Below are 23232 nucleotides of genomic sequence, written 5' to 3'. Positions count from 1 at the left end.
ATTAGCATATACTTGTTCATAACACTCTATGCTTTATATCTGTGTCATATCTGTAGCTGTTCCCCCTTTTTCATTATGTATTTGTTTATTCATTTTTTCTCCCTTTATCCATAATCGGCCTTGTTGTAACTCTGAATATCTTACAAATATTTTTAAGTAAGCAGCTTTTGGAATCAAAAGTATGTTAATTTTCACTACCTAGTTTTTTGTTCTCTATTTCTGTTTCATTGCTTTCTATTCTTATCTTTATAACTCCTTTTCTTCGTATTTCTTTAGGTTTGCTCAACTTCTCTTTTTCCAAATTTTTGAGTAGAATTTCTAGGTCCTTTATTTTAACTTTTCTTGTTCTAATAAATGTATTTGAAATTATAATATTATTTTATATGTATATTTTATGTGTAACATTTTTAACACCTGGTTCTAAAAGAGTTAATTTTCTTTATAACTGCTGTTTATTTATTTGACACAGGGTCCCACTCTATTGCTGAGGCTGGAGTGCAGTGACGCAATCATGCCTCACTGCAGCCTCCATCTTCTGGACTCCAGCGATGCTCCCATCCACGACTGCCTTTTAAATCCATGTTACTGATAAATATATTTGTTCACTTACAATTTTAAGTATATTTTAGTTATCAAGTTCTAATTTTATTACAGTATGGTTGCAGAATATAGTTTCTTTCTTTCTTTTTCTTTTTTTTTTTTTTTTTTTTTAAGACAGTGTCTTACTCTGTTGCCCAGGCTGGAGGGCAGTGGCACAATCTCAGCTCACTGCAACCTCTGCCTCCTGGGTTCAAGCGATCCTCCCGTCTAGCCTTCTGACTAGTTGGGATTACAGGTGCACCCCATCCAGCTAAATTTTTTGTAGAGACGGGGTTTTGCCATGTTGCCCAGGCTGGTCTCAAACTCCTGGGCTCTAGGGATCTGCCCACCTTGACCTCCCAAAATGTTGGGATTACAGGCATGAGCCACTGCTCCTGGCCTAGAATATAGATAGTTTCTAAGATACCGATACTCTGGAATTTATTGGCGTTACCTTTATGGAATGATGCATGTCCTATTTGAGTAAATGTTCTGTGTGGCTTGAACTATTATATATAATTTTTGGTTTTCTGGCAACTTTTAAAAAATGAATTTTATGAATCTTGTACCTCATTTTATTTCCTTCTTTGCTTTCACTATCCTATGGCCTGGAGCCAATTATTTTTTATCCATTTATAGTTGGCTGATAAATATGTGTCCTGTTAAACCGGCTCTCTGAAGAAAAACAATGCTTCTGACTTGTAGCATTGCTGATTTCTATAGTATAAATACTTCCATAGTGGTCAATATCAAGTTACCAATAGTTAACAACTGTCTTCAAAAATCCTGAATACTTTGCAATCTGCTCTTGCTAGCCAGTATAAGACAGCGCACCACTTTTTTTTTTTTTTAAGATATTCACGTTGTCCATTAGTTTCCATTAGTTTCACTCCTTGGCTTCACTTACTTTTCTTAACCATATTTTCTCTCTGACCCAGTGTTGTTTTCTTCTTTTAAAAATTGTTTTAAATTATCTCTGTAAGCTGCTACAAACCTTTTATTGGAATGAAGGGCATTAGAACAGTTATTTGGCCAATACAGAAAAATGAAGTCTTCTAATTTTTTTTTTTTTTTTTTTTTTTGAGATGGAATTTCTCTCTTGTCGTCCAGGTGGAGTGCAATGGCGCAATCTTGGCTCACTGCCACCTTTGCCTCCCGGGTTCAAGCGATTCTCCCTGCCTCAGCCTCCCGAGTAGCTGGGATTACAGGCACCATGCCCAGCTAATTTTTGTATTTTAAGTAGAGATGAGGTTTCACCATGTTGGCCAGACTGGTCACGAACTCCTGACCTCAGGTGAACCACCCGCCTTGGCCTCCCAAAGTTCTGGAATTACAGGCACGAGCCACCGCGCCTGGCCGAAGTCTTCCAATTTTAAAAGATCTAATCTTCATTCAGTTCTCAAAGTCTTTGCTGTGCCCTTAAGGCATGTCACACGCATGTGCAGCTCAGGGGTAACCTGGTACTCCTGAGGGTTCAGACTCAGAATTAGGGAATTTCCGCCTGTACTCTCAGTTTGGAGATTCCCCTACACATTCCTGCCCGCAGGGGCCCTTTTTCTTCATTCCTCTGGCCAGAAAGCCGGTATTTCTCTTGTTAACTCAGGGCTTGTGCTACCACGCAGTGCAGCTCTGCACCTGAGGCCTGACGTCAGGGCAGAGCTGGGAGGAAAAAAGGGGAAAACATTGAAAACCCACTCCCCAGGAGGGGCCCCTCTCCCAGTTTTGACCCTCTTCACAATCCACCTGCTTTTGTTTACTTTTTGGAGTCCTTGAGTACTTGCTTTTTGTATACTGCCCAGAATTTCTACTTGTGATCAGTGGGAAAAATGGGCTATTTAAAATCTCAAATAAGTTAAATATCATGGCTAGAAACAACTCCAGGCATTTGTAATTTTAGATTTTTTTCTTTACACTCCAGGGGGATGTGATTGTTTTAGAGTTTTGAATTCGTATGTTTAGCCTGAGATCCTACTAGTATTTCTGTTGAATATGCCTGTTGACTGCCCACTTGTTAGCAAAATGGCATTGAATGTTGGAACTGTAAACTACCTTAGAAATCATTCAGCACCATCTTTTGACAGAAAAGGATATGAGAGTTCACTCCTGTCACTCAGGAAGTGCAAGGCAAAGATAGAAGCAGAATTAAATTTGTTTTAATACAGTTACTCAGCCATCTGGTAACAGTTTCCTAAGTGCCAACGAATGTATGGGGCTATTTATTGCAGATTTTAAGATGATATATGGGGATTGAGGGAATGAGAAGTTTTAGGGAGTGGTAGAGGAAGGGCATATAATAAGACTGAATCCCAGATCCCAGCCTCAGAACTTATTTTGTGACCTTGGTCAAGTGATTTAATCTTTCCAAACCTCTATGTGTCCTATAGAAGTAATAATAATACCTATATAGGGTTGGGTGTTTTTTTTGTTTGTTTTTTCTTTTTCTTTTCTTTTTTTTTTCTTAAGATAGGGTCTTTCTCTGTCACCCACGCTAGAGTGCAGTGGCGCAATCACAGCTCACTGTAGCCTCAAACTCCCAGGCCTAAGCGATCCTCCCACTCAGCCTCCCAGGCAGCTGGGACTACAGGCATGCACCACCGCACCCGACTAATTTTTAAATTTTTTTGTAGAGATGGGGTTCTCACTATGTTGCCCAGGCTGGTCACTAACTCCTGGGCTCAAGCAATCCTCCCGCCTTGACCTCCCAAAGTGCTGGGATTACAGGTGTGAATACAGGGGGTTTTTTGGTTTGAATTTTAAGAGATAAAATTTATAAAACATTTAGCCAATGCCACAAATGTAGCTTCTTTTGGTTATTGTCATTATTCTTTGAAATTCACAAGTGCCCCAAAATATTTAAGCATTTTTCATGTATTGCCCTTTAATATGAATGAATGCATTATGAAAGGAATTCTTTTACATGCGAGTTTGCTGATAGTCTTAGCTAATTCTCATGTGTGTAGGTGTCTTGCCTATCTGTCAGTCTTAGCCTTAAAGGAAAGAGTCCCATCACCTCACTTGCGGCCTCATCATCATGGACCGCATGATGATGCGGAATGAGAATTTTTATTGTTTGTACTACTTCAAAATCATTCAGTACGTGATCACCTGTCATGTATAGGGCTCTTTATATTTCTAGTTTAGTCCCTTTTGTTTTCTCTAGGAAAGATGTTTTAGACCTGGGACAAAAGAAGAAAGAGTGTATGCTGACATCTAGGAGGGAAGCACCCACCTCCCCTAAGCTCCATCTCCCTGAGCACTCATTTCCCAATGACCATACCAGGTTTTGGCCCTAGAGAGTTTATTACAAAATAAGAAAGAGAAGTCTGGGGAAGGTTCACTCATCATAGAATTTTGGCAGTTCATTGCCCAAGATGACTCGATGGTCCACACCGGCAGCTGTAATAGTGACCAGGTAGATGACACCCCCGCTTGAGCCATCCCGGCTCATGGCCAGAGCAATAGCTGCAGAGGGTTTCAAGTTGGAGAGAGGGAGAGAGAGGATGGCTTAGCTTCAAAAATCTTTTTACTCCCCCTCCATCCATATGCCTACTACCACTTTCACCTCAAAACTCATCTTCCAGGAAGGCATATTTAGTGGTGTGCTGGTAAATCAGTTTTTTTACAAAAAGGCTTCCATATGTGGCATCTGCTGATGTCCGTGGTGTAAATGCTCCCGCTATGATGAATTGCAAGTTACAAATAGCTAAGCAGTTCACAAATCCTTGACTATTTAACAGTCCGCTCTCATGAGTGGTCCCAAGCCAGCCTCAGCACACCTCAGCACACCACTGGTTCTTTTTTTTTTTTTTTTTCTCCAGACAGGGTCTCTCTCTGTCACCTAGGCTGCAGCGCAGTGGTGCAATCACCGCTCACTACAGCCTTGATCTCCCCGGCTCAGATGATCTTTCCACCTCAGCCTCCTGAGTAGCTGGGACTACAGGTGTGCACCACTATGCCCAGTTCATTTTTTTTTTTACTTTTTTTTATTGTTTTTTGTGGAGACAGGGTTTCACCATCTTGCCTAGGCTGGCCTCAAACTCCTGGGCTCAAGTAATCCTCCTGCCTCAGCCTCCCAAATTGTTGGCATTACAGGTGTGAGCCACTGTGCTTAGCACACCACTGGTTCTCACAGTGACTGTGTATCCTCATTTGATTTACTCAGAACAGCCCTGGTTTATCCGTATTGCCCAAGAACCCCATTGAGCTTTGCATTTGTCCTGCCCCTTTTCACTCTTAAAAGTGTACCAGGCCCGGCATTAACTTAAATGGCCACCCCTGTATTTCTCTTCCTGTTCCTCATAATCTACTTCCTTCCCATGTTTCAAAGCCCTCCCCAGGTACCCTTCCACTTGGCTGGTTACCGTCTGTGGTGAAGCGCCTGCACTCCTCGGGAGACATGCCTGGCTTATATGCTGCATCCACATAACCATAGATAAAGGTGCTGCCGGAGCCACCAATGGCAAAAGGCTGTCGAGTCAGCATTCCTCCCAGGGTTCCATATACCTGGGAAAGGGATCCTCAGGTTAAAGAATCATCAAGCCCTTCCTTCCCACTGAGACATTAAGTGGTCTCTGCACCCTGCAATGAAGCCCTGGTATCTCATATCCCCAAAGTACTATGCTTTCAGAGGTAGTGTCCTTGGAACTCATTGCTAGAATGACATAGGACTTCCATCTTCCTCTGCAGGAGAGTGGGGAAGCCCAGAGGAGAGAGTGCTTTGGGAGAAACTCACCTGACCTCCTTCACGTTGGTCCCAGCCAGCTACCATGAGATGTGCAGACAAGTCCTCTCGATATTTATAGCTGATATTTCTCACCACATTTGCAGCAGCCAAAACAAGTGGAGGTTCCTCCAGTTCTATCCTGAGGGAAATATTAGGAATAAAGGTTGATAGAATTTTAAGTCTCATTCTCCTATACTGTTACCATCATCCCTGCTAAACGACCCCTGAAAACTGTAACTGCAATAGCTCAAACTGCAGCCTCCCTCCCACATGTACAGGGGAACCAGAGTCCCACACCACCAACTGGTAAGAAGCTTTCAATTGCTCACTCTTTTGCTCAGCCCCACCCACATAACTTTCTTTTGGCTGCAAGGACCCTGCTCTTATGGGGAAAAGCAGATAAGGTTACTTCCGTCCCAACGACCTTGATTTCTCGTATGGTAACTGCCTGATATTATGGTGGGTCACAATATCACCTTCTTCCTGATTATTTATATCAGGATAGTGATTTACAGCTTTTAAACTGTGTTCACATATAGAATGTGGTTCTCAAAATAACCGTCTCATGAGGTACTATATTATCTCCACTTTACAGATGCAGAAACTGACAGATTCAAGTGCCAGCAAGAGCCGAAACAAGACTTTTCCATTTCCCAGTGTCCAGCTCCTGGAACAGCACACTGTACAGGGATTCATGCAGGTTGGGGGAGCTCTAGTGGGTGGGGAGTCAGAACTCCAGAGCTTCATACCCATGGAGCTCCAGCTGGTAGGCGGCCATGTCGGCCACGGCTTGGGCATCAGCAGCTGAACCAGAGAGTGCACAGTAGATGCGCTCGTGCAGCGGGGACAGCTTGTCAAACACTCGGTTCACCACCGCCTCGCTGTCAGGAGGGAGTCAACAGTCACCAAGTTAAAACTCAGGTTTTTTTTTTTTTTTTTTTTTTTGAGACAGTCTCACTCTGTCACCCAGGCTGGAGTGCAGTGGATCAATCTTGGGCTCACTGCAAACTTCGCCTCCCTGGTTCAAGTGATTCTCCTGCCTCAGCCTCCCGAATAGCTGGGATTACAGGCACCCACCACCAAGCCCAGCTAATGTTTGTATTTTCAGTAGAGACAAGGTCCCAACATGTTGGCCAGGCTGGTCTCAAACTCCTGACCTCAAATATCTGCCCACCTCGGCATCCCAAAGTGCTGAGATTATAGATGTGAGCCACTGCACCCAACCAGAACTCAGGAATTTTTGAGGGTGATCATTCAATGTCTCTCAAATTTCTTTGACAAGAGAATAGCATGAAGTTTAATGCTTGGATTAAAGCAGGAGGCAAATAATCATCTCAGATATTATTAATCACTGCAGATGTTAATCAAAATTAGGCTTATTTTTCAGGCTTAGATTTTATAACAAAGCAAAAAATGCTAAGGTAAGAAAAATATGCCTCATCAATTTTCTTTGCTATTAACAATCTTGAGAGAGTTATGTTCTATGGAACATAATGTCAGTAATATTGACCTAACCCCATATACTCATTTTGCATGTGAGGAAATTGGTTAGGAGTGGGAGAAGAGACAAAATAGTTCAATATATGGTAAATGAGAAACCAGGTATCTGCTTGACAGAATCATCTTTTTGATCCCTAAGCACAGATGGAAAGAAGACCCTCAAAAATCTATCTCCTGTCCCCCTCTCAGACCCTATTCCTTTACTCATCCCTGTACACTACTGGGACAGGTCACATACACATTCAGACCCCAGATCCTCCTCCACAAATTCAGAGACCCAAGCACCCACCAAATAGCTTATCATAGTGGCTTTTGGGGAAGGTCAACTCCATTCCTCCAAGGCTCCAGTTTGCCAGTCTTTTCATGAATGGGTAAGGAAAGTGTGTATTTGAGGCCATTAGCTTCTTTCCAAATGCATACATCTTCACTTTTACTCACCCTGCAGACACTCGGGAATCAGAACCCATCACAACGCCCCCGTCAAACTCCACTGCCATGATGGTGGTCTGCAGAGACACAGAATATGGAATGTCAGGGCAAGAACAGCCTTGATGCCCTCATGTTAGAGAAGAAGAAACATTCCCAGAGAGGCGAAGTGACTGGCTCAAAGATTACACAGTAACAGGCCAGAGCTGACTGTCAGTACAGGCTTTTTTTCCCTTCATCTTTCCACTTTCTCTATTGCTTCATCCGGCTGCAGGGGAATGCCACAGCCCAGCTGTGATACAACACAGAAAGAACTGTGTCCCTAAGTTCCAACTTGCCTAGTGGAATCCTCTCCACTGTAGAGAGGTGGAGATGAGGCTCCTACAGGTAGAAGTGAAGCAGCTCCGCAAGTGAAAATTATCTCCAACGGAAGGGCTCATAGTATGTGCAGATGTGGTGTAGACCCAACACAGAGTAATTGACTATGATCTTGGGAAACAAGGTCAGTCTATTTTTTTTTTTTTGGTCCACAATCCTCCACTCTCACCCCCCATTTCATCAGAAGTGAGCTCTTCCAATTTACTGAACATTGGAAAAAATCGAGGAGGGCAGTGGTTAGCATGGCCAGGGGCAAGGCAGGAGAGAAGCAGCAAGGAACACATACAGATGGTTGAAAATAAAAGTTTCAGTTATGGAATTTCCGATCAAGAGGTAAATACATATCTCAGCAGCCAGGGAGGTAAATTTGTACCAAGAGATAATTTGACTGAGAAGTTTAAGCTGACTTTTCCAGGTCAAGAAAAGAATCAAGAAGAAGTGAGGGAAGATAAAGCTACATTTATTCTACTATTGAGTTGGAAGGAGCCTTAAAGATCCTCGGTTCAAATGAGGAAACCAAGTCACAGAAAATGCAAACGACTTATGCAAAGTCACACAGAGTTAATAGTAGACCTGGGACTAAAATTCAGGTCTAACTCTTATCCCTTGTTTCCACTTCTACTTCCTACTTGCCACTGCTCATTTGGCAGTGAGGGGAGATTTCCCAAATTATAAGTGGTTTCACTGTGTCTTTCTTACCAGGCCGTAAGTTACTCTGGCCCCAAAGGACGCTCCTCTGAGTATGCTTTCCGACGGACCGACTTATCATGAATAGAGGGTCAAAGAACAGGGTTAACTTCAAGTTAGAGGCTATTCCTCTCTAACAAAGCCGCCCCCAAGCCACGAGTGGTGGCAGTAGTCCAGAGCAGAAGCCAGCCAGCCAGTCTTGGGGCTGCCATCTGCCCCAGGCGCCCATCCTAAGCAAAGTCCCCCCAGTGGGCACATGGGAGTGGGCAGGGAAGACACAGGGAAGGGAGTAAGGCAGCATCTGGGCCAAGGAGAGGCCTTCCTGGGTCAAGCTAGGGAAGGGCATCACTAGTTAACACAGAACGCCCATTATCAGTGCTTGGGCTAAGAGTTGCCCAGTGGCAAGTTTATCAAAAGTCTGTGTGATGAGTTGGTCCTTCTCAATAAGTGCCTATATTTCCTTCTCCCAAGTGCTGTTCTACTTCACCCAGGGCACCATTTCCTCATCTCTTTGCACCATCCCCAACCCCCTTTCTTGATTTAACCAGCCCCCACTGTCCGGGACCAGAGTGAAAGCGAAAGCGCTTTAGAGTAGCTTCCCGTTGACGCTTCCAGCTAAGAGTCAAAGCACCCGCTTTTTCCACCAGCCTCGCGTGCCTGTTCCCTTCACGGACACTCTAGACGACCCCCCTCAGAAAAGAAATACTCTATGCTCATTGCGGGTTGCAAGCGCTGGCTGCTACAGGCGACCTCCCTGCGCTCCCGTTGGTCTCTGCATTCACTTCTCCGCGCGCGCTTCCAGGGTCCCCTGGCCGCTGCATCTCCTCCACCCCTCTGCCAACCCTCAAGCCCAGACCCATTACCCCGGTGTGGACTTCTCCCGCCCGGGGTAAGTCCCCGGTTGGTGCTCCCGCCCGCAGCATCCCTGCAAGGCACCGCTCTCCTCGCCGCCTGGGGCACTGGTTTCCAACCTGGGACAGCGCACAACGCGCAGCCGACAGCCCCGCCCCTTCGCGGCGCCGCCAGGAGGCGCCTGGGTGCTGCGGGGCTGCTTTGCGCGCGGCGCTAACGTGTGTAGGGCAGATCTGCCCCGAGACAAGTGACGAGGCAGCCCCGCCCTGAGGCTGGGGTGGGAAAACTGGTGCAAGTGGAAAGGCAGGAGGCAGGGAGAGGCGAGAAGGGTGTGCGTGATGGAGAAAATTGGGCACCAGGGCTGCTCCCGAGATTCTCAGATCTGATTTCCACGCTTGCTACCAAAATAGTCTGGGCAGGCCACTTTTGGAAGTAGGCGTTATCTAGTGAGCAGGCGGCCGCTTTCGATTTCGCTTTCCCCTAAATGGCTGAGCTTCTCGCCAGCGCAGGATCAGCCTGTTCCTGGGACTTTCCGAGAGCCCCGCCCTCGTTCCCTCCCCCAGCCGCCAGTAGGGGAGGACTCGGCGGTACCCGGAGCTTCAGGCCCCACCGGGGCGCGGAGAGTCCCAGGCCCGGCCGGGACCGGGACGGCGTCCGAGTGCCAATGGCTAGCTCTAGGTGTCCCGCTCCCCGCGGGTGCCGCTGCCTCCCCGGAGCTTCTCTCGCATGGCTGGGGACAGTACTGCTACTTCTCGCCGACTGGGTGCTGCTCCGGACCGCGCTGCCCCGCATATTCTCCCTGCTGGTGCCCACCGCGCTGCCACTGCTCCGGGTCTGGGCGGTGGGCCTGAGCCGCTGGGCCGTGCTCTGGCTGGGGGCCTGCGGGGTCCTCAGGGCAACGGTTGGCTCCAAGAGCGAAAACGCAGGTGCCCAGGGCTGGCTGGCTGCTTTGAAGCCATTAGCTGCGGCACTGGGCTTGGCCCTGCCGGGACTTGCCTTGTTCCGAGAGCTGATCTCATGGGGAGCCCCCGGGTCCGCGGATAGCACCAGGCTACTGCACTGGGGAAGTCACCCTACCGCCTTCGTTGTCAGTTATGCAGCGGCACTGCCCGCAGCAGCCCTGTGGCACAAACTCGGGAGCCTCTGGGTGCCCGGCGGTCAGGGCGGCTCTGGAAACCCTGTGCGTCGGCTTCTAGGCTGCCTGGGCTCGGAGACGCGCCGCCTCTCGCTGTTCCTGGTCCTGGTGGTCCTCTCCTCTCTTGGTAAGGGGAACGCAGGGCAAGAGGGGAGGACACAAGGGGACTGGGACAGGAATCAAAGGTAATTGTCAGTAAGGTAGAGTAGCGTGGGTTCTGGGAAATGTGGAGCAGGAGAAGGACTCCTAGCGTGGGTCTTGGAACACCACTTCGGTGTAGAAGAAACGGCACTGGACTGGCGGGGGCCAGAGGTTCTGGGCTCCATTGCTGACCGGGTCTTGATTCTTTGGGCCACGCCGGAAGCGGGGAAATCCTTTGCTCTGGGGCCGAAGGGCGGGGCATCCTCATCTCTAACAGGAGGCTTTTCTACTTCATGATCTCCAGCCTTCCTAATAAAATCCTGAAAGTTCTGGTAGAGCAACCACAGGGTAGTGAGTTCCAGGGCAGCCTATTTAGGTTCGGGATTGAGACGTCAGTGTTTCCTTTCTGCTGATGCCCTCCAGGATAATGGTGAGGGGGAGGAGGCGTGGTGGGGCCAGTCTGACTGGAACTGACCTACTTAGACTTAATATTTGTGCGTGACCTCTCTTCTCTTTCTCCAGGGGAGATGGCCATTCCATTCTTTACGGGCCGCCTCACTGACTGGATTCTACAAGATGGCTCAGCCGATACCTTCACTCGAAACTTAACTCTCATGTCCATTCTCACCATAGCCAGGTCTGGGGGCTGAAAATGGGGCACCCTGCAAATGAGGGAGTTGGAAGTTGGGGCTGCTGTCCGAAATGCACTTATATGGGGATACCTGGGACCTTCAGTCTGTTCCCTGAACACACCCTGATCCCCTTTTTTTCCGGGTTCTTTATAGTGCAGTGCTGGAGTTCGTGGGTGACGGGATCTATAACAACACCATGGGCCACGTGCACAGCCACTTGCAGGGAGAGGTGTTTGGGGCTGTCCTGCGCCAGGAGACGGAGTTTTTCCAACAGAACCAGACAGGTTTCTCCTGAAACTCTTTCATTATACGCCATGTACTGTTCATATCCTCATACATCTGCTTTGATCTCCCCCCTCCCCGCTCTCTCTCTCTCACACACACATACACACATTGTTCCTTCTCATTCTTGATATACCCTCTCCCTGTCTCTCTCTCTCTGTCTCTGTCTCTCTCTCTCTCTCTCTCACACACACACACACACAATTGTTTTTCTCATTCTTGATATACCTCAGGAGCAAAATATTGTCCTCCTTACCTTAAGAAAAACCTAGAGTTTTCATCTAGCATTTTCTTATAAATCTATTCCTATGTATCCTTAGATAGAAACCATAGAATTTCAAACCTGGAAATTTTGAGCTCATAGAGACCAACTGCCTCATCTGACAGAGAAGGAAACTGAGGCCAAGACCCTAAATGCTGAAACTGCACAGTTACATATGGCTAGAGACACACTTGGGGTTAGAACCCTGGTCTCTTGAGTGCTCCACAGACTTCGGCATGCTTTCTAGCAGCACTAGAAGCTGTACAGTTACATATGGCTAGAGATAGACCTGGGGTTAGAACCCTAGTCCCAGTGAGTGCTCCACAGACTTTGGCATGCTTCCTAGCAGCACCCTCCTCCTCCATCTCTGTTATGTGACCAGTTTAAGCTCTTCCTGCCTGTGTGTATAGCATGGGACATACAGGTTCTCTAGGGAACAGAAAGCTTTCAGGAAAATGGAAATTCACATGTGCATTAATGACTTTATAATTAAAATGAAGGTCAGGCCTTTCCTCTTTAACACTCATCTTCCCTGCACTGAGATTTGCAGACCTCTGGAGAACCCTAACCTTGTTTCCTGCAGCCTCCTTAGAACCCCATGTTGACACCCCTGACCCTGGCATCCTGGCTCATTGTTAGTTCGTCTCATCACTTGGAACCTGTCTGATTCACCTCACTCTCTTCTCCCCAACCCTGCAGGTAACATCATGTCTCGGGTAACAGAGGACACGTCCACCCTGAGTGATTCTCTGAGTGAGAATCTGAGCTTATTTCTGTGGTACCTGGTGCGAGGCCTATGTCTCTTGGGGATCATGCTCTGGGGATCAGTGTCCCTCACCATGGTCACCCTGATCACCCTGCCTCTGCTTTTCCTTCTGCCCAAGAAGGTGGGAAAATGGTACCAGGTATGTTCATGGAGTTGGCCCGCTCTACACAGACCCTCATCTCCCAGACTTGGCAGACTCAGTTCCTCTCACATTGCTTTCAGTCCAGCTTTCCTGGCACCCTTACTGATTCTCCATCTTCATGGAACACCCTGTCCCTGTGGTCCATGTTCCCAGGTTGCTCAACATTAACCTCCATACTCTCTGGGTCTTCTTTTCTAGCTTCTCCCCACAATCTGTCTTTAAGAATTTGATCCCCAACCCGTTCTGAGTCATTTTCCTCTTCCTCGTATTTCTTTAGCATCCAAGGGGCATAGCTGTGTCTCTTTCTCTTTTCTCCTTTTCCTCTGTCTCTTCTCACCTTTAATTTCCAAATAGGTAACTCAGGTATTAGTGTCCCTGATGGTTTGCCAACCCGTGTGACATCTCTTGTCCATGTATCCACAGTTGCTGGAAGTGCAGGTGCGGGAATCTCTGGCAAAGTCCAGCCAGGTGGCCATTGAGGCTCTGTCGGCCATGCCTACAGTTCGAAGCTTTGCCAACGAGGAGGGCGAAGCCCAGAAGTTTAGGGAAAAGCTGCAAGAAATAAAGACACTCAACCAGAAGGAGGCTGTGGCCTATGCAGTCAACTCCTGGACCACTAGTGTGAGCACCTGAAGATGAATACCCATTCCCTTGTCCTTAAGATGCCGTGACTCCATTCCCATTCCTATGACCCTGCTCCCACTCCTCCTTTACTGGGAAATGGTTGGTTCAGTATTTTCGTCCTAGCAACCTGAGGCTCAATGACTCTACTCAGTGTCCCTAGCCCCCTCCCTCTCTTTAAAGATGCTAGGTGGCTTCCTTTCAGTATGGTACATAAAATCCACCCAACCATGTGGATTGGAGAGATGCGTGTCTTCCAGTCCTAGGGCCTTCCTTTGCCTCTCAGGGGAAGTGCAGGGCGCCATAAATTCTTGCACCTGGGACTGCTTCATGCTGGTACCTTGTAGATTTGTTAGTGAGAGTGATGGGAATAGTGGAAGCCAGGGATGAGGGACATCTGTGATGCACTGGAAAGAGAGCTACGCCAGTGATCCGAAGATCCTGGCTTGATGATGCAATTTACTTGTCTTGTGATCATGACAACAAATTTACCTTCTCTGAGACTGTTTCCTCTTTATTTATTTATTTGTTTGTTTGTTTGTTTATTTTTACTTATTATTATTATTTTTGAGCTGGAGTCTCGCTTTGTCGCCCAGGCTGGAGTGCAGTGGCGCGATCTGGGCTCACTGCAAGCTCCGCCTCCCGGGTTCACGCCGTTCTCCCGCCTCAGCCTCCTGAGTAGCTGGGACTACAGGCACCCGCCACCACGCCCGGCTAATTTTTTTTTTTTTTTTGTATTTTTAGTAGAGACGAGGTTTCTCCGTGTTAGCCAGGATGGTCTCAATCTCCTGACCTTGTGATCCGCCCACTTCGGCCTCCCAAAGTGCTGGAATTGCAGGCATGAGCCACTGCGCCCGACTGGTTGTTTCCTCATTTTTCAAAAATGGAGTGATATAACCTTCTTTATAAGGCTCTTCATGTATTAGCTGACATCACATGAATGAAAGCCTTTTGTGAAGAGTAAAATGCTCCCCAGACAAGGTGATAGTGGTGATGGTGGTGAAGATAACTGTGACTTGCATGATGTGCATTGAGTCAGACTCCATGGGGTCTCTGGTTCATTCTCCTGTCTGCCTATTGAGCCTGCCGATGTCACTTAGGAGACAGGGACTTGATATTTCCTTCAGGTTAATGACTGCGGTTCTTTGTGTCCCCTCCAGATTTCTCTACCTCAGTCCCTTTTTTTGTGGTCTCTTTATAGATTTCAGGTATGCTGCTGAAAGTGGGAATCCTCTACATTGGTGGGCAGCTGGTGACCAGTGGGGCTGTAAGCAGTGGGAACCTTGTCACATTTGTTCTCTACCAGATGCAGTTCACCCAGGCTGTGGAGGTGAGGTCCCTCCACCTTCACTCCCCAGTGTGATTCCTTCCTCTGGCCCAGCACCATCTGTGTGATGTCCTTCCATTCTTTACCCTTCTTGCTTCACATAATGCTGGCAAGCAGACTACCTCACTTTCACTATTCTTACCTCCCTCTAGGTACTGCTCTCCATCTACCCCAGAGTACAGAAGGCTGTGGGCTCCTCAGAGAAAATATTTGAGTACCTGGACCGCACCCCTCGCTGCCCACCCAGTGGTCTGTTGACTCCCTTACACTTGGAGGGCCTTGTCCAGTTCCAAGATGTCTCCTTTGCCTACCCAAACCGCCCAGATGTCTTAGTGCTACAGGTACAACCTACCACTCCCTGTATTCCACTGGCCCCAACTGCAATTCTGCCATCCTAAATTTTCTTCCTGCCTTCAGCCTGCTTACTGCCAAGCATATATCCTCCCTAACCCTTTAAAGGCAATGGTAGGCATCATCTGTTCCATAAATCTTCCCCAAACTCAAGAACCCAGTTTGGGCTTCCAAAGAGAATGAGAGAAGAGGTTTCGAAGAGAGTGCTCTCACGTTCCAAGGAATTGCTGCAGCAAAATCTGTGTCTTCGGTCTTCCATCTTTCCTTTTCCTTTGTAATTTGGAATGTGATTTTTCCCTTTCCTGGTGGTATCTGACATCAAGTGTGTGGCATAGTGGTGCTGGGTCTCTGCCCTTGTCTTTGCCGCTTCTTCTATCTCTACTCCTTGGGGAGGCATCACCCAGAAATCTGTGCATGTGGGAGGGTAGGAGTTTCTATATTTCCCTGTTTTTCTTCTGGGGTAAGACATCATGCTATGTAACAAGGCAATGACACTCTCAAGGTTAGAGGCCTTGGTAGCCTCTTATCGTGTGCTTCTCTGGCCTCTAGGGGCTGACATTCACCCTACGCCCTGGCGAGGTGACGGCGCTGGTGGGACCCAATGGGTCTGGGAAGAGCACAGTGGCTGCCCTGCTGCAGAATCTGTACCAGCCCACCGGGGGACAGCTGCTGTTGGATGGGAAGCCCCTTCCCCAATATGAGCACCGCTACCTGCACAGGCAGGTATGGAAGCAGGTGGCTTGAAGGAGGGCAGGGAGCATCAAATACGAAGAGCATTCTTACTGAGCACTCTGAAAGAGGGGTTAGGGAATGATAAGAGACCTTGGGTGGAGATGGTGGTGTAGTCAGGAGGGAGGTAGTATGATTTTGTGACATGTTCTCAATAAAGATTTTGAGTCTTCGATCTCTAGATAACCATACTCCCATGTGCCTTGTTCTATGACTCTTCATCATATTTCATCTCAGGTGGCTGCAGTGGGACAAGAGCCACAGGTATTTGGAAGAAGTCTTCAAGAAAATATTGCCTATGGCCTGACCCAGAAGCCAACTATGGAGGAAATCACAGCTGCTGCAGTAAAGTCTGGGGCCCATAGTTTCATCTCTGGACTCCCTCAGGGCTATGACACAGGTACTCTCTCCACTCATCTCACCACCCAGCCATCTTTACCTTTGCTGAAACCCCAGTAGTCTTGCCTTTATCCTTCAGTTCCTCCTTACTCATGGACATCAATTTGAAGTTGTAAGATCATGCTCCTATGGCTTCTTCATCCTGACATCCTCAGGATTCTGTTCATCTTCCCAGAATCTCCCCTATCCAGCTACAACCGTCAGATCTTGGTGTGTGTGAGTGCGTGAATGCATGAGTGTGTCTGTGTGCATGTACATGCGTGCACACATGTGGCTATACCGTTCTCATCTTGGCCCTTTGCTCTGCAGAGGTAGACGAGGCTGGGAGCCAGCTGTCAGGGGGTCAGCGACAGGCAGTGGCGTTGGCCCGAGCATTGATCCGGAAACCGTGTGTACTTATCCTGGATGATGCCACCAGTGCCCTGGATGCAAACAGCCAGTTACAGGTGAGGCAGTCATCTTCTTAATGGCTATATCCCACCCAATCTTGCTTCTTTTATACATCTTCTGTTAGTTTTACTAACATCATAATTATACAAACCAGTCCTTGCAGTTCTCAGTTCCCAAATCCAGTTCCATTGGATGCCTCCCCAAGGAGTAGAGATAGAAGACGAGGCAAAGACACCTAGAATCAGTTAAAAGAGACTATCTACAAACTACAGACTGAATTTCTTTCTTTCTTTCCTTTTTTTTTTTTAAGACAGTGTCTCACTCAGTTGCCCAGGCTGGAGCGCAGTGGCACAATCTTGGCTCACTGCAGCTTCAACCTGCTGGGCTCAAGCGATTCTCCCCTCAGCCTCCCGAGTAGCTGGGACTACAGGTGTACACCACTATGCCTGGTTGACTTTTATATTTTTAGTAGAGATGGGTTTCACCATGTTGCCCAGGCTGGCCTTGAATTCCTGAGCTCAGGTAATCTGCCCCCCTCAGCCTCCCAAAGGGCTGGGGTTATAGGTGTGAGCCACTGCGCCCAGTCCTATAGACTGAATTTCTAAAGCGAAACATAAGGAAAAGACCATCCTCATAATATCGTTTATTTAAAAAAATTATTTTTTGTACAGACAGCGTCCCGCTATGTTGCCCAGGCTGGCCTTGAACTCCTGGGCCCAAGTGATCCTCCCTCCTTGACCTCCCAAAGTGCTAGGATTATAGGCATGAGCCACCGGGCCCAGCCCATCCTAATCATATTAATATTAATTAAGCTAGTCTGTTTACATGCACTGTCACTCATTTATTCATTAGGAATCCTTCTGAGCTAGGCATTTATCATCATTCTACAGATGACAAAATGGAGGTTAAAAGAGGTTGAATAAGCTGCTCATATAGAGGTCATATAGCTTTTGAGTGGCGCAGCCTTGACCCAAATTCAGGTCTGCCTGACTTGAATGCTCATCTCTTTACTACTAAGTTATATTTCCTTAAAATCGAATATAAAAATGCCAAGTCCATGGGTAGAGAAGAGGACTATTCAATAGTCTTTATTCTTCTGTCACGTGTTTCACCCTAGGGTTCTCATTTTTATCCTACTTTTGCACCCTTCATGTAAAACAGTCCTTAATGAAACAAAGGGTTTGCGGAGAAGTACTCAGAATGGGAAACGTTGGTGTCCTTGGGGTTGTTAGCAGAGCCAGCAGTGATCCTGTGAGGTCAGTCCCAGCCCTGGAAACACAGGTGTCTCCCTGGGCTGAGGGTAGTCCCCGGCTCTGACGGTCCGATGTCTTTCCTCAGGTGGAGCAGCTCCTGTACGAAAGCCCTGAGCGGTACTCCCGCTCAGTGCTTCTCATCACCCAGCACCTCAGCCTGGTGGAGCAGGCTGACCACATCCTCTTTCTGGAAGGAGGCGCTATCCGGGAGGGGGGAACCCACCAGCAGCTCATGGAGAAAAAGGGGTGCTACTGGGCCATGGTGCAGGCTCCTGCAGATGCTCCAGAATGAAAGCCTTCTCAGACCTGCGCACTCCATCTCCCTCCCTTTTCTTCTCTCTGTGGTGGAGAACCACAGCTGCAGAGTAGGCAGCTGCCTCCAGGATGAGTTACTTGAAATTTGCCTTGAGTGTGTTACCTCCTTTCCAAGCTCCTCGTGATAATGCAGACTTCCTGGAGTACAAACACAGGATTTGTAATTCCTTACTGTAACGGAGTTTAGAGCCAGGGCTGATGCTTTGGTGTGGCCAGCACTCTGAAACTGAGAAATGTTCAGAATGTACGGAAAGATGATCAGCTATTTTCAACATAACTGAAGGCATATGCTGGCCCATAAACACCCTGTAGGTTCTTGATATTTATAATAAAATTGGTGTTTTGTACTGTGGTTTCTTATGTTTCCGGCACACCAAACGGCCCACTGCCTTTTGCAGCGCACTTTTCAGCTGCGGATGTCTCCTCTTTTATCATCCTCAATGTTTTACCCCCTAACTGCATCACCTTTTCCCTTAAGCTTTTTAATTCCTATGAGGCCCCTTCCACTTCCCCTATCCCCTTAGGCCCACCCCCAAGAATGTGCAAGACCCCAGCCACAGGGCCCATCAGGGCACTAGCGGCCGCAGCTCAGAGCCGTGGCCTCTCCGAAGTGGCAGATGGGGCGGGCGCGGCCAGAGCAAGTGCCAGGCGGGAACAGAGGGACTGGGCGCGCCTCACAACTCACCACCTCGCCCGCTGGTCCTTCCTGGCTCGCCTGGCTCTGAAGCTGCACCTGGAGGGGAAACCTCAGAACAGTAGGCGGGATTGCCTAGTAAATATCTCCCATTCAGGGAGGCCCAGGTCGTGTGACGTCGACAGTTGCTGGGTAGATGAGGCCAACACAGGTTGCAAGAAGAGGCGGGGTTTAGAGGCGTGAAACTCCGCAGTGCTCAGCCAAGCAGGGAGCAACGCTAGGAAGGGCGGGCAGAAAGGGCACGCTCTTGTGGGTGACTACAGGTTAGGAGACCGTTGAACCTGGAGGGGCCCTAGGATGGACCCCGTGGAAAGATTCAGAGACTGCGCCCTCTCCCTGGCGCCGCCTTCCCCTACACGCGGCGGGTATATTCTGTTGCAGTTGGCCCAGGACCTGTTTCCAAGACTCTGCCCCCTCGCACTTCCGTCCCTCCTGGTTTTGTAAAGTGATGCTCATAGGAACCCCCACCCCGCGTGACACTACTCCCAGCTCCTGGCTGACTTCTAGTCTTCTGGTTGAAGCTGCGCCTTTAGATGACACGACCCTACCCACCCCTGTTTCCAGCGGATGCCCGGGCCTGGAGGTACCTCTTACTGTAACCCATCGCCAAGTGGGCTTTTGAAGGCGCCTGTTCCTTTCTCGCTTTCTTCGGAAGACCCTTGACCCATCATTCCCCCGACCCCCATAACGGGAGAGCAGAGAAGCCGGTCCCCAGTGTGATGGTCCTGGTCCAGGCACTAACTGTCCTTTTCTCGGAAAAGGCAGGGGGATGTGGAAAAGAGTCTTGTTCCCTCCCCTTCGATCTGTGGCTTTCGCTTTCACTTCCTCCTCCGAGAGCGGACAGATCTCTGGGTGCTGGGCGGTCATGGCGCTACTAGATGTATGCGGAGCCCCCCGAGGGCAGCGGCCGGAATCGGCTCTCCCGGTTGCGGGAAGCGGGCGTCGCTCGGACCCAGGACACTACAGTTTCTCTATGCGATCTCCAGAGCTCGCTTTACCCCGGGGAATGCAGGTCGGGGCAGTAGGGAAGCCCCTAGGGATGCAGGGAGGCGGGCGCTGAGGAGTGGAGGGTCGCCTGAGAGGAGGAGGCGAGAGCGGGAGCGCGGGGTACAGGGTCGGGGGTAGCCTTCAGTCCCGGAGAGCGCCAGACCCAAAGAAGAGGCCACATGGGGATGGGGCCTGAGAGGAGGAAGTGCAAGTTAGGACAAAGAGTTACAGGTGAGGTGGGGGCTCCCAAAGGAAGACAAGAGAACTTTCCTGCCCTTGTCCACACACAAATGGTGGAGCCTTTTTCATGGGGTTATCACATGATATAGGAGGTGTGTGGTGTCTTGGGAAACCTATGAAATTTGCCTGCTGGCCTCCTCTCAGCAACTCACTGTTGCGCGACTTAGAACAAGTCACTTAGTCTAGGTCCCAAGCCCCTCTTCTGTAAAGTGAGGATACTGTTACTAAACGTGTTTTGTGAGGGTTGAATGCTTTATGCATGGAAGAAACCCTTTAAGTCACTCTCAAAATTTTTTAGTAATGGTAACATGTGCTTGCTTTCATTTCTGTTGTGCTGGAAAATGGAAAAGGTTGATACTGGCATGCCTCTTCTTTTCCTTCTCCCAAGCCATTTCCTTCTAGAGATTGGTTATTAACTGTTTCATTTATTGATGGTTAGATCATTTCTGCATATCTCCTCACCCTCATACTCCCTAAAACCTTTTCCTGGAGCCTCTTACTACAGAATTTTTCATTGCCTTTCTCAACCTCTTTTCTCTTATCAGCCCACAGAATTCTTCCAGTCCCTGGGTGGGGACGGAGAAAGGAACGTTCAGATTGAGATGGCCCATGGCACCACCACGCTCGCCTTCAAGTTCCAGCATGGAGTGATTGCAGCAGTGGATTCTCGGGCCTCAGCTGGGTCCTACATTAGTGAGTGTATACGCTCCAGCAGGCAGAATCTGGGGAGCTGGGCTCTCCTTTCCACAGGAGGCCAACTCTGCAACAAAGTGGAAGTGGATATTGATTTAGGACACACTGGGGGATCTATGGGGTCATCCCTTCTCTCCCAAAGCTCCATCTTCTTCCAGGTGCCTTACGGGTGAACAAGGTGATTGAGATTAACCCTTACCTGCTTGGCACCATGTCTGGCTGTGCAGCAGACTGTCAGTACTGGGAGCGCCTGCTGGCCAAGGAATGCAGGTAAGCGAGGCCTCTCATCTTCCTTTCTTAGCCTAGTGGTTAATCCCTGGATCTCTCAGATCATTGCTCCTTACTCTTGTCCTATGTGGTCCATCTTAGTGCTAATAGTATATTTCACAAAACAGCTTTTTGGTGATAAGACCCTTCTCCCAAATCTCAGCCTGTGCTCCACTCATAAGCCAGATAGTACGTCAGGTATTTAGCACTGACACATCCACCCTGGCGGGACAGTATCATTTACTAGGCTGCCTTTGTATGTTTCAGATACTTTAAATTCCAAATCTTTCTCTGATCTTTAGATCCTACAAAATAATTCCTTTCCAATGCTTATCTCTTTAATCATTTCCTGCCCCATCAAGTTGGAAAGAGCTAACCTCTCTTTCCTCACTCCACCTTGTCCTCACCCAGGCTGTACTATCTGCGAAATGGAGAACGTATTTCAGTGTCGGCAGCCTCCAAGCTGCTGTCCAACATGATGTGCCAGTACCGGGGCATGGGCCTCTCTATGGGCAGTATGATCTGTGGCTGGGATAAGAAGGTGGGTGCTCTCCATTCTTCATGTTCCCCCACCATGTTCCCTATGGATGACAGATCTGTTTCCCATCATATACTCCTACTCCCTCCCTGACAAGATGCATGGCATATAGAGTGCTTGGTTATAGAACTGTTTCAGTATATCCATGGACTATTTATTGGCCCAGATATGAATCATTGCATGTGTTTTGTAAGCTTGTCCCTTTTGTTAAACAGTTGATTTCAAGTTTGTTTTTCCTTTTTCATTTCTAAAGTTCGATGACTTTACCAAAGTGGTTTCCTAATTCCAATGTTCTTGTGGTAATATTAATTCTTTTGTTCACTTTTTATGTCTCATATTTGAACCCCCATGTTACCAACATCTTCCTCTCCAATTTCAGCCTGAAATCTTTCATCTTATAGGGTCCTGGACTCTACTACGTGGATGAACATGGGACTCGGCTCTCAGGAAATATGTTCTCCACGGGTAGTGGGAACACTTATGCCTACGGGGTCATGGACAGTGGCTATCGGCCTAATCTTAGCCCTGAAGAGGCCTATGACCTTGGCCGCAGGGCTATTGCTTATGCCACTCACAGAGACAGCTATTCTGGAGGCGTTGTCAATAGTAAGAGACCAATGCTCCCACCACCATGCCTGGGAGGAGTCGGCGGGTGGTGGGGGGGGTGATTTAAGATTGAGAAACCAGCCTGGCCAACATGGCGAAACCCCGTCTCTACTAAAACTACAAAAATTAGCCGGACGTGGTGACGGGTGCCTGTAGTCCCAGCTACTTGGGAGGCTGAGGCAGGAGAATCACTTGAACCTGGGAGGTGGAGCTTGCAGTGAGCCAAGATGGCGCCACTGCATTCCAGTCTGGGCCACAGAGTGAGACTCCTTCTCAAAAGAAAAAAAAGAAAATGATTGAGAGACTCAAAGGAGGGAGAGTAGTAGGGAGGAAATTTTCAGAGTCAGAAGAAGGGCATTAAAGGCCCAGTCATATGGTTTTAAGCTTGCGCATGTGTCTTGTTGCTGCCTTCAACATAACATCAGTGACAGGAACTTGCTGAGGTGAAAGGTGACTCCATGTTCTTTTCTCATTTGTCCACAGTGTACCACATGAAGGAAGATGGTTGGGTGAAAGTAGAAAGTACAGATGTCAGTGACCTGCTGCACCAGTACCGGGAAGCCAATCAATAATGGTGGTGGTGGCAGCTGGGCAGGTCTCCTCTGGGAGGTCTTGGCCGACTCAGGGACCTAAGCCACGTTAAGTCCAAGGAGAAGAAGAGGCCTAGCCTGAGCCAAAGAGAGAGTACGGGCTCAGCAGCCAGAGGAGGCCGGTGAAGTGCATCTTCTGCGTGTTCTCTATTTGAACAAGCATTTCCCCCAGGGAAGTTTCTGGGTGCCCCACTAAGTAGAATAAAGAAAAACGGTTATAAATACCTCTGTCTTGTGGCTGAATGGGGTTGGGCCTGTGGTTGTTGGGTGGGGCAGAAAGTAAAGAGACGCTTTTTCTGGAGAAGGGGCTCAGACCCCTATCTAAGAAATGTGGCCTCACCACATAGTTCTTCCTGGGGTTTCCTTCCACACTCATCTCTCCAAGACCTCAGGAAGGCTGCTCATTGCTGTCCATGGACACTTGTTTGCAATTTCACATAGGTTAGGGTCCTTTCCATAGAGAGGCACCTGGGGACTCCTGTGTGTTCCATTGTTAATGGTTTGAGGAACAGGGAGTAGGGCACCTAGGATAACTGTTTTTGACTTTATAGAGTAGGATGAAAAAGCTTCCACTTCACTTTAATATGGTAATCATATAAACACCATACCATTTATCCCAAATAACACTTTGGAGATATTGGATATTGAATATAAAGACAGACATTAAGGGTCTAATTTCATGATGTGTCATGCTGAATTGCAAGATGGCAGGACTATAATTTTAGAG

General features: G+C 48.2%; 3 protein-coding genes and 1 long non-coding RNA gene across 9 annotated transcripts; 2 read left to right on the top strand and 2 right to left on the bottom strand.

The window, feature by feature from the left end:
* Positions 1-3594: 3594 nt before the first annotated feature.
* PSMB9 (proteasome 20S subunit beta 9) lies at positions 3595-9254 on the bottom strand. The gene is made up of 6 exons (NM_002800.5): positions 9157-9254; positions 7241-7308; positions 6052-6183; positions 5312-5441; positions 4941-5082; positions 3595-4041 (listed from the first exon to the last, which is right to left on the bottom strand). Exons 1-6 carry the CDS (start codon positions 9214-9216, stop codon positions 3914-3916), a joined length of 660 nt encoding a protein of 219 aa, NP_002791.1. The 5' UTR covers positions 9217-9254; the 3' UTR covers positions 3595-3913.
* On the top strand, positions 9742-18237 carry TAP1 (transporter 1, ATP binding cassette subfamily B member). Of its 2 annotated transcripts, none has more exons than NM_000593.6 (11): positions 9742-10407; positions 10944-11058; positions 11207-11337; positions 12297-12502; positions 12929-13126; positions 14328-14456; positions 14606-14794; positions 15354-15527; positions 15771-15933; positions 16242-16378; positions 17661-18237. In NM_000593.6, the coding sequence occupies exons 1-11, from the start codon at positions 9810-9812 to the stop codon at positions 17865-17867; spliced, it is 2247 nt and encodes a 748-aa protein (NP_000584.3). In that variant the 5' UTR covers positions 9742-9809; the 3' UTR covers positions 17868-18237. The 2 variants fall into 2 exon arrangements, with proteins under 2 accessions (NP_000584.3, NP_001278951.1); NM_001292022.2 differs by lacking the exon at positions 9742-10407 and adding an exon at positions 10685-10851.
* Positions 16946-19360, bottom strand: PSMB8-AS1 (PSMB8 antisense RNA 1). 4 transcript variants are annotated; one of them, NR_037173.1, is made up of 3 exons: positions 19172-19360; positions 18576-18801; positions 16946-18028 (listed from the first exon to the last, which is right to left on the bottom strand). It is a non-coding gene; the product is annotated as a PSMB8 antisense RNA 1 (long non-coding RNA). The 4 variants fall into 4 exon arrangements; NR_037175.1 differs by having other exon boundaries at positions 18576-18636; NR_037174.1 differs by lacking the exon at positions 18576-18801 and having other exon boundaries at positions 16946-18116.
* PSMB8 (proteasome 20S subunit beta 8) lies at positions 18767-22729 on the top strand. Of its 2 annotated transcripts, none has more exons than NM_004159.5 (6): positions 18767-19167; positions 20357-20504; positions 20663-20774; positions 21183-21312; positions 21711-21915; positions 22399-22729. In NM_004159.5, exons 1-6 carry the CDS (start codon positions 19033-19035, stop codon positions 22485-22487), a joined length of 819 nt encoding a protein of 272 aa, NP_004150.1. In that variant the 5' UTR covers positions 18767-19032; the 3' UTR covers positions 22488-22729. The 2 variants fall into 2 exon arrangements, with proteins under 2 accessions (NP_004150.1, NP_683720.2); NM_148919.4 differs by lacking the exon at positions 18767-19167 and adding an exon at positions 19399-19596.

This window comes from Homo sapiens, chromosome 6 (genome assembly GCF_000001405.40).
Source record: "Homo sapiens chromosome 6, GRCh38.p14 Primary Assembly".
NCBI classification, from domain to species: Eukaryota; Metazoa; Chordata; class Mammalia; order Primates; family Hominidae; genus Homo; species Homo sapiens.
The sequence above is the reverse complement of the archived record's forward strand: the minus strand, read 5'-3'. Positions and strand labels throughout refer to the sequence as shown.